This window comes from Homo sapiens, chromosome 2, assembly GCF_000001405.40.
Source record: "Homo sapiens chromosome 2, GRCh38.p14 Primary Assembly".
Lineage (NCBI taxonomy): Eukaryota > Metazoa > Chordata > Mammalia > Primates > Hominidae > Homo > Homo sapiens.
The window spans coordinates 95,209,330-95,225,001 of NC_000002.12; the positions used below are offsets into that span (position 1 = coordinate 95,209,330).

Here is a 15,672-nt window from a genome sequence, read left to right on the forward strand (position 1 = left end):
GGGTTGACCTAGACTGTGGTGAGGGAAGCTCGGCTGTGTTGTACCCAGACCCCAGGACAGTCTACACTCGGTCTTATTCCAGAGGCAAATGAAGGCCTCATGAAGGTTTTTAGAGGCCCAGCAAGATGAAACATGCCATAGCTGATTGGAGAGAGAGGATTAGTAAAGATGCTTCTGTAAGATCTGGCCAAGACAGTGGGAGATTGGCAGACCCCTTGGTTCAGGTGCTGGGACTCTTTATTTCCGTCACACCAGGCCTAACAGCATACAGGTACTGATGATCCTTATAAAACCATGGGAGAAAATGCCAGTATTGATTTTGATCTGTGAATTGGTAGATCGCTTTCAGAAAGATGAGGGGAGAGAAAGTAGCACCTGCTGACAGTGTCTGATTGGCCTGCCTGTGAGTTGATTACTGAGGTTTTCTTAGGGAACTGAAGTCTGAAAGCAACTGCCTGTTAGTCTGTTAGTGTTAGCATTGTTTGTACAGAACGAAGATGGTGCATGTTATATTACTTGTGCTGATCATTCCTGAGGCATATGACCTTAAGGGGCCATAAACTTAAAAGTGTGGGATTTCTTACTTGAAGTGTTAAAGAGTGTATTTTGGGCAGAGGATTTTCAGAGTAGGTAGTTCTTTTAACTTTATGTCATTATGTGCTTTGTTTTACCAGTCATTTTTGAAAGACTGAAATATGCATTAGAAAGCTGAATATAAACAAAATTAACCGTTCGATTCATATATATATGTATATATGTATATATATGTGTGTATATGTGTGTATATATGTGTGTATATATGTGTATACATGTATATATGTATATATGTGTATATATGTATATATGTGTATATATGTATATGTGTATATATGTATATATGTGTATATATGTATATATATGTGTATATATGTATATATATATGTGTATATATATGTGTGTGTATATATATTCAAGGGGCTCTGGCCCAAGTGGTAGTTTAAAGAGCGGTAAAACTGATTCATTTGCTAACCCAAGGGATGGTTTATTTTACTCTAAGTTAAATTGTAGTTGCATAGAAATTTTAAAAATAGAATTTGAAAAATTATTAGACATTTGTCTTATCAGCACTAACAGATTCAAAAGAGCATTACCTGCCCTACTCCCTTATTTCAGTATTTTAGTAAACAAACTAAACTTTGTGTCTGTCATCTAGATGAAGGTTAGGCTAAATACTCCTGCAGTGTTTTCAATGTTTAATAGGCTTCTGTTCTCCTCCCCACTTCTGTTCCCATGCACACGTTTATAGAACACCCCATTTAAACTTGTTTCTATTAATTCTTGTTCCTTCCTTCCTTTCTTTCATTCAAATATTCAACAAATATTTACAGAGTTTCTGCTCTGTGCCAAGTACTAGGCTGCTTCAGTGAGCAAAAATAGACCTGGCCTCTGCTCCTGTGGAGCTTATGTTAGCCACAAGATCCCCTCTATGTGTGCAACCCAAGGGAATGGAAGGAACATGTGTTCTAACTAGAGAGTCAGGGAAGGCTTCCCTTGAAGTAACACCTGAGCTGAGATCTGAAGGGAGAGAAGGATTCACATTGCTGAAAGGATGGGGCAGAGGGCAGAATATTCAGGAATAGGAAGCAGGATGTGTAAAGGGGCTAACGGGAATAGGACACACACTTCAAGCAGATGAAAGAATGCCACCAACTGGGGGACGCGGGCAGATTGATCAGGGTCGTTGTGAAAAATGACAAGAACACTCTGGGAACTTTCATAATCATTTGGGCTTCAGATACTGTTTTACAAATAAGTCTATATTCTGTGACGTGTAGGAAACATCTTAATTTTTAATATATATGGGACTGATTTCATTCTTAGGAAAACTAGAGAAAAAATACTTCAATTTCTTGAACCCCATATGTTTTAAAAACTATACCATAAGGAAAATACTTAATTCATAATTACATTTTTCTCTCCTTTTTCCTGTATAAGTAGTAGCAAATTCTGTAGTTCTGTAATTTATTGATACATAAACTAAAAAGTTCATACGTTCAAGTTTTACATTGAAGGTGCTTTCCTTCCTACTTGCAGGTAATATGCATTTCTGCTGCCTGGAGGCAGAGAGTGAGTCTGTGGACTACATATTCACCAGAGAATCTTAGTACTGGAAAGGGTGGCCAAGGCCATGTTGTCTGTCCTTTTTTTATCCTTTCTGTCTTCCTCCTCCTGTGCTGTCAGTTTTATTCCTCTTCAGAGGCCTCTGTAAGGAGGCTCATTGGTGAGCACCAATGTGTTTGGTTTTTCAGGAATTGATGATCAGGGATATGGCCGAGGCTCTCACCCAGTGGAGGCAGCTGAACTCTCCTCAGGGAGATGTGCCTGAGAAGCCTAGGAATCTGGTCTTGCTGGGTAAGGATGGCTCCCCCAATGCCTGTGAATTTACCCAGTGTGGTACCTTGTCCTCCTCAGTTCCTAGGAGCTCCAAGGTCCTTATATTCAATGATTCTTAATTCTAGTAGGGCCTGAGACAGGCAATTTCTGCCTTTTGTTTCTGGATATAGTTTTAACACTCCTGGAATTAGACATAAACACCTTTATTTTATGGACTTGTAGCATCCTTCTTCTCAACTCCTTGACCAAGGATGTGGAGACAAAGTGCTAATGAAAACAACTCTTAAGAGAATGGATGCTTATTCTTTAAATAGGGGGAGGTAAAATTGATAAGGGACTCAAACCCCTATCAATCTTCCTACCTCGTGAACACTGTTGAGGAAGAAATGGAGAACTGACCTCACTCTCTCCCTCTCTTACCATGTTCCTAAAGACCAGGGAATGAACACTGAGGTCTTCACCAGACTCCTTTTTCTTTCCCTATGAATAGGGCTTCCAATTTCCACACCTGATGTAATCTCTCAGTTGGAGCATGAGGAAGAGCTGGAGAGAGAAGTCTCAAAGGCAGCCAGTCAAAAGCGTGAGTGTTGGAAACAGTGCAAGTAAAACCCAGATTGTCAATGCAAATGCTTGTGGAGGAGGAGCCTGTCCAGATTTTGCTAGACCCATGGAAAAGTTGAAGTCCCTGTCTCACCCCTATGCCACATCCTAGCTCTGTGGATGGTTATCTGTTTATAAAGTTATAATTTGATTTTTTAGAAAGTAAATACTTTCTACTCTTTCAAACCAATTCTTTTTCCCAAATAAGGTAAAATGAAACCAACATTTTAATGTTTGTTAATAACTTGCTTGGGTTCAAGGCTCTAAAGCAGGATTTTTTACATGTGTTATTTTATCTTTGCTGGATGCCATTTTTTTGAGTCTCAGATCAATGACTGTAAATTCATCTCTGGGTTTTCCCTTGCCACCTTCTCTGTCTAAGCAGAGGCAGCATAGCATGATGGTTAAGACTGCAGACTTTGGAACTAAGCTTCCTTGGTTTAAAGCTGATCTTAGCTACTCATTAGCTTTGTGACCTTTAACAAATGACTTGTGTTCTCTGTGACTTAAATTAAAATGGGGATAATGATAGCACAGAGCTTATACTGTTTTGGTGGTGATCAAAGGAAATAATCCAAGAGAAATGTTTTAAACAGTACCTGGCTATATGCTAAGCAAAGATAGCTATTAAGTCCTAGTAACTTTTTTGAAAGATGTTATGGATTTGACCCTGTTACTTCTGTCAAACTGGATTACTGCAAAAGACTGTTGGCTAATTATACTTTCTTTTACTCTTACCCTTGTAAAATTGAGGCAGCATAATACTGCTAGATTCCCCATTGAGTTGCTTACTCTGCCAGCTCTGTATTCCTCTACCTGCTTTCAAAGCCGTTGTTAGTCTGCCTAACTTTTTTGCCTTCTCTGTTCTTCAACTTGAACTCTTAACATCAGATAGGCAAGTCCCTCACTATCCTCCACTAACTGTGTGTTCATGAACATTTGGGGCTTTAATTTTTTCCACTCCCCTTAGCTGGATGTCCATTTGCTTTTAACCTATTCTACCTATTTGTCCTTTAAAATCCCAGGCACTTCCCTGAATATATCTAGTTGAGAACACTGTATTGTATTAATTTATTTCATGTAGAGACATGATTGGAATGGGTGTTAAAGACCATTTAAGCTTGGAAGTATTTAAACATTTTTAGCAATGAAGCTTTTCCCCCTCAAATTCTTACTAGGAAGCCCAGGAACTTGGGGTAGATATCTTGAGAGGTTGGGGACTCATCTGAACACATGGAGTTTTGACCTTCCCCTCCCAACACACTGCTGTTTTTCTCTTTCTTTCCTTTCTCTCTTTTTTCTTTCTTCTTGGTTCTGTTTTACTCTTTCCAGTTTGCTGGGTCTAGGGTGATGGTAAGCAATCAGAGGTGATTAGTTGCTTTCCAATTAATAAGCTTTGTGGTCATTTGAGTTTGTAGACCTGGACTATGTTGAATGCTAGCTTCTAGAATTTGTGTCTTATCTTGAGACAGTAGAACCAACAGATTTTTGTGAAAGGGAGATGGTTTTGAGCAATTAGTCTTTTAGCAGTGGTTGGGACATATTGGAGTAGGAAAAGATTGGTGGCAAGGAGATTAGCTAAAGATGGTCATTCTTGAGGCATGAAATGATAAGGCTCTGGTCAGATGGGTACAGTGAGTCTTTGGAAGACCATCTTTCTCTGATCCTATCTCCTCTAAAGGATCTATCTCCTCTAGATCCTTTTTTAAAAAAATCTGCTATTTCTCCATATCACCTCTTCTTAGTCTCATTCTGTTATTTTTTGTTATTTCCTATCCTGCTGCATAGAGGAATGTTGAGTACCTGCACACACACTCCTTTTATGCCGTCGTACTTCTTTGTCCAGTCATCTTTTTTTTCTTGTGTTCTCTCAAGATTGCAAGACTATTTTTGAGAGCTTTCAAGTTCATGTGTTCCCTGTAAATATTCCTAACAAAGAATGAAACAAACATGTTTCATTAATTTCCTACCACAGCAGTTATTTTTCTCTCAGTGTAGGAAATGATACACATGTGTGTTTTTGCTTATTTCAGACTGGGAAACAATACCAGAAAGCAAGGAGCTAACTCCAGAGAAGGATATTTCTGAAGAAGAATCGGCTCCTGGGGTGTTAATTGTAAGATTTTCAAAGGAAAGTTCTAGTGAATGTGAGGATTCTTTAGAGAGTCAGCAGGAAAACCATGAGAAACATTTAATACAAGAGGCTGTCACTGAGAAATCTTCTAGGGAGAGAAGCTACCAATCTGATGAATTTAGAAGAAATTGCACTCAGAGGTCCTTACTTGTTCAGCAGCAAGGAGAGAGACTACATCATTGTGATTCATTTAAAAATAACTTAAAACAAAATTCAGATATAATTAGGCATGAGAGAATTTGTGCAGGAAAGAAACCTTGGAAATGCAATGAATGCGAGAAAGCCTTCAGTTACTACTCAGCTTTTGTCTTGCATCAGAGAATTCACACAGGAGAAAAACCCTATGAATGTAACGAATGTGGTAAAGCCTTTAGCCAGAGCATACACCTTACTCTGCACCAGAGAATTCATACTGGGGAGAAACCCTATGAATGTCATGAGTGTGGGAAAGCCTTCAGTCACCGCTCAGCCCTTATTCGGCATCATATAATTCATACTGGAGAAAAACCCTATGAATGCAATGAATGCGGGAAGGCCTTTAATCAGAGTTCATACCTCACTCAACATCAGCGAATTCATACTGGAGAGAAACCTTATGAGTGTAATGAATGTGGGAAGGCCTTCAGCCAAAGCACATTCCTTACCCAGCATCAGGTCATTCACACTGGAGAGAAACCTTATAAGTGTAACGAATGTGGCAAAGCCTTTAGTGATCGGTCAGGTCTTATCCAGCACCAGAGAACTCATACTGGGGAGCGGCCATATGAGTGTAACGAATGTGGGAAAGCCTTTGGCTACTGCTCAGCCCTGACTCAGCACCAGAGGACTCACACTGGGGAGAAACCCTATAAATGCAATGATTGTGCCAAAGCCTTCAGTGACCGCTCAGCCCTTATTCGTCATCAGAGAACACACACTGGAGAGAAACCTTACAAATGTAAAGATTGTGGAAAAGCATTCAGCCAGAGCTCATCTCTTACAAAGCATCAGAAAACTCACACTGGAGAAAAGCCCTACAAGTGTAAGGAATGTGGAAAAGCCTTTAGCCAGAGTTCATCCCTCTCTCAACATCAGAAAACTCATGCTGGAGTGAAAACCAAGAAATATGTCCAAGCTCTTAGTGAGCATTTAACCTTTGGCCAACACAAGAGAATTCATACTGGATAAAGACTATGTAAATGTGGTACATTCAGAGCATAGTTATTGAGCATTTACCATACTTGCTGTGGGGGTCTACAAAGAAATTTAAGACTGTGTTGCAAAAAAGTTATTGACAAGTCATTGCTGATGTGGGAGGTAACATGATTAGACTGTGAAAGTATAGTTTTACATTTTTAAAAGTGTTCTGGCAGAGGACACTGACATTCCCTCAGGAAAGAGGAAAATTATTTGTAACACCCTAACGTGTATGTAAATTGCCATATCCTTGGGAGAGAAATGGGGTGTGCCATGGTGGAAACGGGACATCTTGACTGTGCCAGGTATTTTCATAATACTAACAATATAAGTTTTAAAGAGATAAGTTATCCTTTTAGGGAAGTTGCATGGGTAGAAAAAAGAGATCGAGAATTCACAATGAGTTTGTCCAGAGTCAGGAGTGGTGGTGGAAGGGAAGTTGTCCTTCATTCTTAAGTTTAAGGAGCCAAAGGAAGTAGAGGGAAAGGATAGAAAAAAAGAGCTAGGGGAATGAACCCAAGAAATGTTGATTATGAGAACTACTCAACTGAATATTCACAACCATGAGAAATATAGACTTGCTAGTTGGTCAGTTGAAAAGTTTCTGTGAGGGTAGCCTTACCCTGCAACTAAGGAATGTTGGCTGCAGGGTAATGCAGGGTGTTTGCTTTTGGACTTTTTGTCTTTTAGACCTTGCTTATTGAGACATTGCCTACTAAATCATGTTAATTCCAAGGGTCAAGAACAACAGCTTAGAAAATTGAGTACAGAAGAGACCTTTGATGTGTTCAAACTGTTTTAAGTTATCTGAGTTACCTGAGAATGTGCTTATTTACAAAGATTTACCTCAGTTGTATCTAGTTTGTACCTTAGATTTTTTTATAGCTTATAGTAAAGTTTAGTTGTAGATTTGCACTGACACTGCATATTAGATTATGAAAAACTTGAAAAGATTTTGAAATACCTTTTACCATTTTACTCTTGGGTAGAGGCAGGTGGCATCTTTTTATATTTTTTTCATTGAAACTTTGAAGATTATTGGACATATTATTTTGAGTGCAGTGTTTTTAATTTTAGGAAGTTATACTATGATGTATCTTGGTGTGAATTTCTTTTAGTTTACCCTGTTTGGGGTTTGCTTAGCTCTTCAATCTGTAGGTTTATGTCTTTTGCCAAATTTGGGAGATTTTCAGCCCTCATCTCTTTAAATACATTTTAGCCCCCACCTTCTACTCCTTTTCTTCTGGGACTCTAATGAAAGAAATGTTAGCTCTTTGGTTGTAGTCTCACAAGTTCCTGAGGCTCTGTTCATTTTTTCTTGAGGATTTTTGTCTGAATCTGCTCAATCTGCCATAACAAGATAGCATAGACTGACTGAGTGGCTCAAAAAAATATGTATTTCTAACAGTTCTGGAGGCTGGGACGTCCAAGATCAAGGTGCCTGCTGACTCTGCTTCTAGTGAGGGCTTTCCTCCTGGCTTACAGATAGCTGCCTTCTCACTGTGTCTTCTCATGTCTGTAGTGCATGCAGATGGGGGGCCAGTTGGGAAAGGGAGAGAGAAATAGCTCCCTCTTCTTATCAGTCCACCAGTTCTAGCAGATTAGGACTCTGCCCTTATTACCTCATTTAACCCTAATTACCCCCCTGAAAACCCTGTCTCCACATGAATTCACATTGGGGATTAGGACTTCAACAAAATTTTGGGGAAGAGGGGATACGTTTAGTCCATAAGATTCCACCCCAGCCCCCCACCGAATTTATGTCCTTCTGTGCAGAATACGTTTATTCCATTCCAACAGCCCCCAAAGCCCTAACTCATTCTAGCATTAGCTCTAAAGTCCAGACCTTCAGGTAAATATCACCTAAATCAGATATGGCTAAGACTCAAGATACAATTCATCCTGAGGCAAAATTACTCTGCAGCTGTGAACCTGTGAAACCAAACAAGTTATGTGCTTCCAAAATACATTTGTGATCTGGACATAATGTAGGCATTCCCATTCCACAGGGGGAGAAATAGGAAAGTAGGAGGAGGGATGCATCCTGAGCAAGTCTAAAACTTAGCAAGGCAAATTCCATTAGGCCTTCGTTTCGTCAGATCTTGTGAGAATAACCCTCTTTTGCTCAATGCTCTGCCTTCCAGATCCACTGGGGTAGTGGTCCTATCTCTGTGGTACTGCCAGGTAGCCCCTCTCCTAAGCCTCTGCAGGACAATTCTGCCCCTAAGTCTTCAGTTGGAGGCTTTCTGTTCTGTTGAGACCAGGGTGATGGTTCCACCCTTTGAAACAGGAGGCATCCCCAATGGTCTCTGAATTGCTTTCAGGATCATTCTCTTTTCTTGAAGGATAACACATATTCATAGACAAATGGCTCTCTAGTCTGGTTCTGTAGGATCTAAGAAGTCCTAAAGCCTGCCTTCATTTTATTTTGTTGTTTTTCTGTCCCCTTTAGTGCCAGGTGGCTGTGTTTCTGCTGTTATAATCCCATTTATATTCCTGGCTTCTCCTGGGGCTGCTAAACCCATCTGATCTATTTATCAAATGGTTGTTAAGCCACACTCTTAGTGTTTTCTTCGTAGCAAATTTTCCCATATTTTTGTGATATGGATAGAATTTTCAAATCTCTTTAATTGTGCTTCCTTGTTTCTTAACAGTTCCTTTTTCACTTAATGTCTCTCCTCTCACATTTTACTACAAGCACTAAGGGGACCCAAGCTGCACCTTCAGTGCTTTGCTTAGAAATCTCCTAAATAAACAGTTTCATCACTCTCAAGTTCTGCCTTTCAGAAAACACTAGAACAGTTCAGAGAAGTTCTTTGCCACTTTATAACAAGAACCACCTTTTTTTTTTCCAGTTCTAATAACATGTACCTCATTGCCATCTGAGACCTTGCCAGAGTGGCCTTTAATATCCATATCTCTAGCATGTACCTCAAAACTCTTTTAGCCTCTACCCATCACCCAGTTCCAAAGCTGCCTTCACATTTTGAGGTATTTGTTACAGCAGCATCCCCCTTCTGGGTACCAAAATCTCAATCTGCTTGGTCTGCCATAACAAAAATCCGTAGACTGGGCAGCTCAAACAACAGAAATTTATTTCTCACAGTCCTGGAAGCTGTAAGTCTAAAATCAGGGTCCAACAGCGTTCAGTTCCTGGCTTGTAGATGGTTGCCCTCTCACTGTGTTCTCACATGACCTTTTCTCAGTGCATAGGTGTGGAGAGAAATTGGATTGGGACCCCACCTTTAAGGTCTCTTTTAACCTTAATTACTTCCTCAGAACCTATCTCCAAATATAGTCACATTGAGGGTTAGGGTGTCAACAATGAATTGGGGTCGTGGGGACATAGTTCATAACAGTTTTCTCTCTTCAGATTGAGCATTTTCTTTTTTTTGTTTGTTTGTTTGAGAGGGAGTCTCGCTCTTGTCCAGGCTGGAGTGCAGTGGCGCGATTTCAGCTAACTGCAAGCTCCACCTCCCAGGTTCACGCCATTCTCCTGCCTCAGCCTCCCAAGTAGCTGGGCCTACAGGCGCCTGCTACCATGCCCGGCTAATTTTTTTTTTTTTTGTATTTTTAGTAGAGACGTGGTTTCATCATGTTAGCCAGGGTGGTCTCGATCTCCTGACCTCATGATCCGCCCGCTTCGGCCTCCCAAAGTGCTGGGATTACAGGCATGAGCCACCGCCCCGGCCAAGTATTTTCTGTTTTTATATCTTCAAGTTCACTAGATCTTCCCTCTGTCCTTTTGATTCTGCTGTTGAGACCATCCTTGAGTTTTATTTCAGTTATTGTATTTTTCAGTTCCATTTGATTCTTTGTTCTGTTTCCTTGCTGAGAGCCTTTCTTTGCTTATTTTGTTTGTATTGAGCATGTTTGTAATTACTCATTGAGGCATTTTTGTGATGGCTGCTTTAAAATCCTTGCAGGTTATCCTAACATCTGTGTCATCTCAGTGTTGACATCTTTGGGTTATCTTCTCATTTAAGTTGAGATTTTCTTGGTTCTTGGTATGATGAGTGATTTTCAGTTGAAGTCTGGACATTTTGAGTATTTTGGTATGAGATTTGGTATCCTATTTAAGTCTTCTGCATTGACAGGCCTCCTCTGATACCACTGTGGTGGAGAAAGTGTTGCAGGGGGTGCTGCCTCATTACTTTAAGTTGGTGTTGGAAGTCCAGGTTCACCATTGACCTCTAATGACTCCTGGGGCAGGTGTCCTTAATACTGCTCGGCAAGGGTGGGATTTATAGCTCCCCACTAGGCCTCTGCTGACACCACACTGGCTGGGGAAGATCAGGAATGCCTTGTTATTGCTACTTACATGGCCTCGATTGACAGCATGCTGTGGGGTTGAGGGTAACATCATTACTATTGGGAATTGGTATAAGTCCTGACCCCCCACTTGGCTTCCACTGAAACCACACCAGTAAGGAAGAAGAGAGATGGCTCTGGGTAGGGGGGACGCTGCCAGGGCAATGTGTGGGGAGGGGTGGGTTTTAGAAATCTGTCTGCTCAGTTGGTCTTCTCTGATACCACCCCAGGGTAAAGGTGGAGGACTGAGGAGCCTTGTTACAGCCTGGTGAGGGTGGAAGTATAGGCGTTTGTTGGCGGGGATAGGACCATAGCTTTCTTCTGTGGTCTTTGAAGTAGGATTGTGGTTTTCTAAACATTTTCTGTCTTGCTAGGCTGCTCCCTTCCCAGTCCTTTGGCTAAAAAAAGCAGATTTTTCTTGGGGCTTTTTTTTTTTTTTTGGTCTGTGCCTGTTGGCGTTTCCGGGTTGCCAGCTTCTCTAGAACCCGATCTGGGATAGATGAGGCAATAAGAAAGCCCAAGAAAGTCACTGCTGTGTTCTTCCTCAGGTTCTGAGGTCCCTGGCCAGTCCATTCTCTCTCCACCTTTTAGAACTTTCTTATGTTTGCTTTGTATATAATATCCCGGATTTTTAGTTGTAGTTAGTGAGAGCGATAGGAGAAAGTAGTGCTCCACCTTTCCCGTGACATCCTGGTGCTTGACACTGAAATCACACATCAAGTTGTGGTATATATAGGGTTTGTGGTATATAACCTAAGGGTTTGTGGTATATACAGGTCATTTGTCCTGAAGATAAGCTGCCAATTTGATAGGTAGAAACTATCAGCCTGCTTCATCTAGCTTTGAAGGAACAATAGTTTATAAATTGAGGAAACACCAGTATTTAATTGTAGGTTATAAACTGGAGAAGAATAGCTATGACTAAGAATATAAACTATAGGGTTACATTTTTTTATTTGTATTTTTGTTTGAAAAACATATGAGAAGCACTGGAGAACTGGACTCAGAATTTTGGATTTTTTTACAATTATATATTATGTACATGTGGCTATCTGTTCACTTTAATTTGCCATATGACATATGATATCATAGAGAATCAACAAAATAAAGAATGAAAATAACTGAGATTTGGGACAAGTCACCTTCATCCTTTGAAATCTGTTTCCTCATAGATATATGTTTTAAAATTTAATGCCTACTTGAGAATGATTGCAAGAGTTAGGTCGAAAATGGATGCAAATGTGGTTTGTAAGCTATCAGGTGCTACGTAACTATTAGGTATTATTCATATAGTCATTTAGAAGACATATCCATCATGTATGCTTCACAGTGGTGTAGCCCAATAAAAACAACTGTGAATATAATGGAATGAGGCTTTTTATCTTTTTAAGTAAGTTTTCTGGGATCCTGTTAAAATCTGCATCTTTTGAGATAATCATATGGTTCCTTTTAATCTATTAATGTGGTAAAGTACATTGATTTTCTGATGTTAAAGAATCCTCGCACTTCTGGGATGCAATTTCGTGATTTTTTTCTCCATCTCTGGGGGAGTTTGTGTCCCTTGAATTTTAGTTGCATTCATCTGTTAAACTGGGATTATTGTGTTTGTAGTGTGTGGTATGGTTGGTTTTAGGGGCTATTTAGATTTACTGTTTCTTCTAGAAAGTTGTAGGTTTTTCTAAAAATGTATCCTTTTTGGTCATCGAGTTGTTTAAAATATTTTTATTTTCAAGTACTTGTTCTATTTGAACTTAGTCCCTTTTTTCTTTCCTGATATTGCTTATTTGTATCCTCTCTTGGTAATGTTTCTAGAGATGTGTCAACTTTACTAGTCTTTTAAAATAACTGACTTTTTGAACTTTTGCAAAAATCAACTTTTATCAAAGTGCACAATAAAATTCACCCACTTAAAGGTGTTTGCTATGTTTGACGAAGATATTACCCTTGTAACTACCACCATAATTGTGTGTGTGGTTATAATAGTTCCTTCTTCTCCTCCTCCCTCCCTCTCTCTTCCTCCTCCCTATCTTCCTCCTTCTCCTTTCACCCCTTTCTCTTTCTTCCTCCCTTCTTCCTTTCTTCCTTCCACAGTTCTGTCTTAAAATGACCTATGTAGACTTGTGTCACCATCACCACAAAGGGTACAGAACAATTCCACTGCACCAACAAATTCCACCTGTGCTGCTTTTTTTTAAGAGTGGCTCCCCACCCCGCATTGAGTATAAAGGCTTTGATTTTCATCAGTGTTGTGTCATTTATTCATTTTTATTGCTGAGTAGTTTTCCATGTTAGGTACCACAATATTCTTAGCCATTAACCCACTGAAGCACATTTAGGTTGTTTATAATTTTTAGTGATTATGAATAAAACTATTAGAAACATTAGGTTTTTGTATGAACATAAATATTCATCTCTGTAGGGTAAATATTGGAGTGAAATGGTTAGGTCATATGGTGAGTGTATGTTTACCTTTGTAACACAGGGCCAACCTTTTCCAGAATGATTAATTTTGTTTTCCCACCAGCAACGTATGAAGATGTGGTTGCTCCATAATTTGCCAACACCAGGTATTCTCATTGTTTTTATTTTATCCATTCTAGTAGATGTGTAGTGGTATCTCAATGTGGCTTCAATTTGCATTTCCTTAGTGACTAATGATGTTGAGCATCTTTTCGTGTGCTTATTGTCCATCTGTGTATCTTTGATGAAGTGTTCAAATCTTTTGCCATTTTAAAAGAATTCTATTGTTTGTTTTCCTAGTTTAGTTTTGTAGTTTGTGGCTTGTCTTTTTATTCTCTTTTATTCAATTTTTATTTCAGTGTCTTTTATAAAGCAAAGGTTTTAAATGTTAATGAAGTCCAGTTTTTCCCTCTATGGACCATACTTTGGTGTCATATTTAAGAACCCCATCCCTAACTAATGTTTAGGAAATTTTTCTTCTAGTAGCTTAATGATAATGTTTTTCACTTACATCCATTTTAGGTAATTTTTATATAAGGTGTTAAATAAAGGCCCAGCTCATTGTTTTTACATGTGGTTATCCAGATGTTTCAGCATCATTTGTGGAAAACATAGTGTTTCTCCATTGAATTGCCTTTGCCCTTTTGTCAACAATTGATTGATCATAGTTAAGCGGGTCTGTTTCTCAGTTTTCTGTTCTATTCCATTGATCTATGTGTCCATCCCTTTGCCAAAGCCACACATTGTCTTGATTACTGTAGCTTTGTAGTAAATCTCAAAATCAGGTAATGTAAGCCCTTCAAATTTATTCTTTTTCTAATTTATATGTTTCCACTGTCATATATTTGTCTATATATTATGTCAAGTTTTACTTTATATATTTTGACACTCAGTTGTTATCCAAATACAGGCTAAGAATTGTCAAATCTCTGGTGATTTGAATGTTTTCCCATTATGTAGCAACTTTCTTTAAACATAAGAATACTTTATAACAGATAATATTGGGGTTTTTTTGGGGGGGAGGAGGTTTGAAACAAGGTCTCACTCTCTCACCCAGGCTGGAGTACAGTGGTGGTGCGATTTTGGCTCTTTGCAACCTCAACCTCCTGGGCTCAAGCAGTCCTTCCACCTCAGTCTCTCGAGTAGCTGGGATTACAGGCATGCACCACCACACCCAGCTAAATTTTTTGCATCTTTTGTAGAAATGGGGTTTCACCATGTTGGCCAGGCTGGTCTTGAAATCATGAGCTCAAGCAATCTGCCCACCTTGGCCTCCCAAAGTGCTGGAAATACAAGCATGAGCCACTCTGCTCCACCACAGACTTATTGAGATATAATTTATATACCATAAAATTCATCCATTTAAAATGTACAATTCAGTGCACAGAGTTGTATGACCATCACCACAATAAATCTTAGAACATTATCACCTCTAAAATAAAACTTTTAGCTATAACTTCTGCTATGGTCTGTATGTTTGTGTACCCTCGAAATTCATAAGTTGCAATCCTAACCCCTAAGGTGATGGCATTAGGAGATGGGGCCTTTGGGAAGTGATTAGGTCAAGAGGGCATAGCCCTCATGAATGAGCTCAGTGCTCCTATGAAAGTGGCCCCAAACAGATCACTCACCCCTTCTCCCTTGTGAGGACACAATGAAAAGACAGTCATCTGTGAGCTAGAAAGTGGGTTCTCACTCACATTTCATTATGCTGGTGCCTTGGACTTCCCAGCCTCCAGAACTGTAAGAAATCATTTATTGTTGTTTATAAGCTACTCAGTCTATGGTGCATTTGTTATGGCAGCTGGAACAGACTAAGGTAACTCCTAACTCCTCTATTCTCCCCAGCACTAGGCAACCATGAATACACTGTCTATGTTTGTAGATTTGCCTGTTCTGGACATTTCATATAAATGGAATCATACAGTCATCATACAGTATATGATCTGGTGTGGTTTGAAGGTGTATTAGCCCATTTTCACGTGCTATAAATAACCGGAAACTAAGTAAGTTATAAGGAAAAGAGGTTTAATTGGCTCACGGTTCCACAGGCTTTACAGGAGGCGTGGCTGGGGAGGCCTCAGGGAGCTTACAATCATGGGGGAAGGCAAAGGGGAAACAGGCTCATCTTACATGGCCAGAGCAGGAGAGGGGGAAAGGTGCCACACACTTTAAAACAACCAGATCTCATGAGAACTCTTATCACAAGAATAGCACCAAAGGGGGAAATCTGCCCTCATGATCCAATCGCCTCCAATCAGGTCCCACCTCCAACATTGAGGATTACAATTTGACATGAGATTTGGGCAGGGCCACAGACCCAAACCATATCAGAATGTGTCCCCTAAAGTTCATGTGTTGGCAGCTTGATCCCCAGTGAGGTGGTTCTGGGAGGTAGGGCCTAATGGGAGGTCAATGGATTATGGGGCCACCACCCTCATGAATGGATTAATACTATTCTCGTGAGAGTGGGTCTGTTATCACAGGAGTGGGTTCCTTACAAAAGAACAAGTTTGGCTCCCTCTTGCTCCTCTATTGCCCTCTCTTTGCCCTTTGGCCATGGAATGATGCAGCAAGAAGGCCCTCAACAGATACTAGCTCCTTGATTTTGGACTTCC

At 39.9% G+C, this 15,672-nt stretch overlaps 1 protein-coding gene across 3 annotated transcripts in view; it reads left to right on the plus strand.

The window, feature by feature from the left end:
• Positions 1–15,672, plus strand: part of ZNF892 (zinc finger protein 892) — a 57,232-nt gene that overhangs the window by 2,975 nt on the left and 38,585 nt on the right. For 2 of the 3 annotated variants that reach the window (XM_047444126.1, NM_001395961.1), the window contains exons 3-5: positions 2,289–2,391; positions 2,864–2,953; positions 5,007–14,510. In XM_047444126.1, the coding sequence (XP_047300082.1) occupies positions 2,295–2,391; positions 2,864–2,953; positions 5,007–6,274 (1,455 nt within the window). In that variant the 5' untranslated portion in view covers positions 2,289–2,294 and the 3' untranslated portion in view covers positions 6,275–14,510. Of the gene's footprint in view, positions 1–2,288; positions 2,392–2,863; positions 2,954–5,006; positions 14,511–15,672 lie in introns of those variants that run through there. The other variant, XR_007073288.1, reaches the window with a different exon arrangement.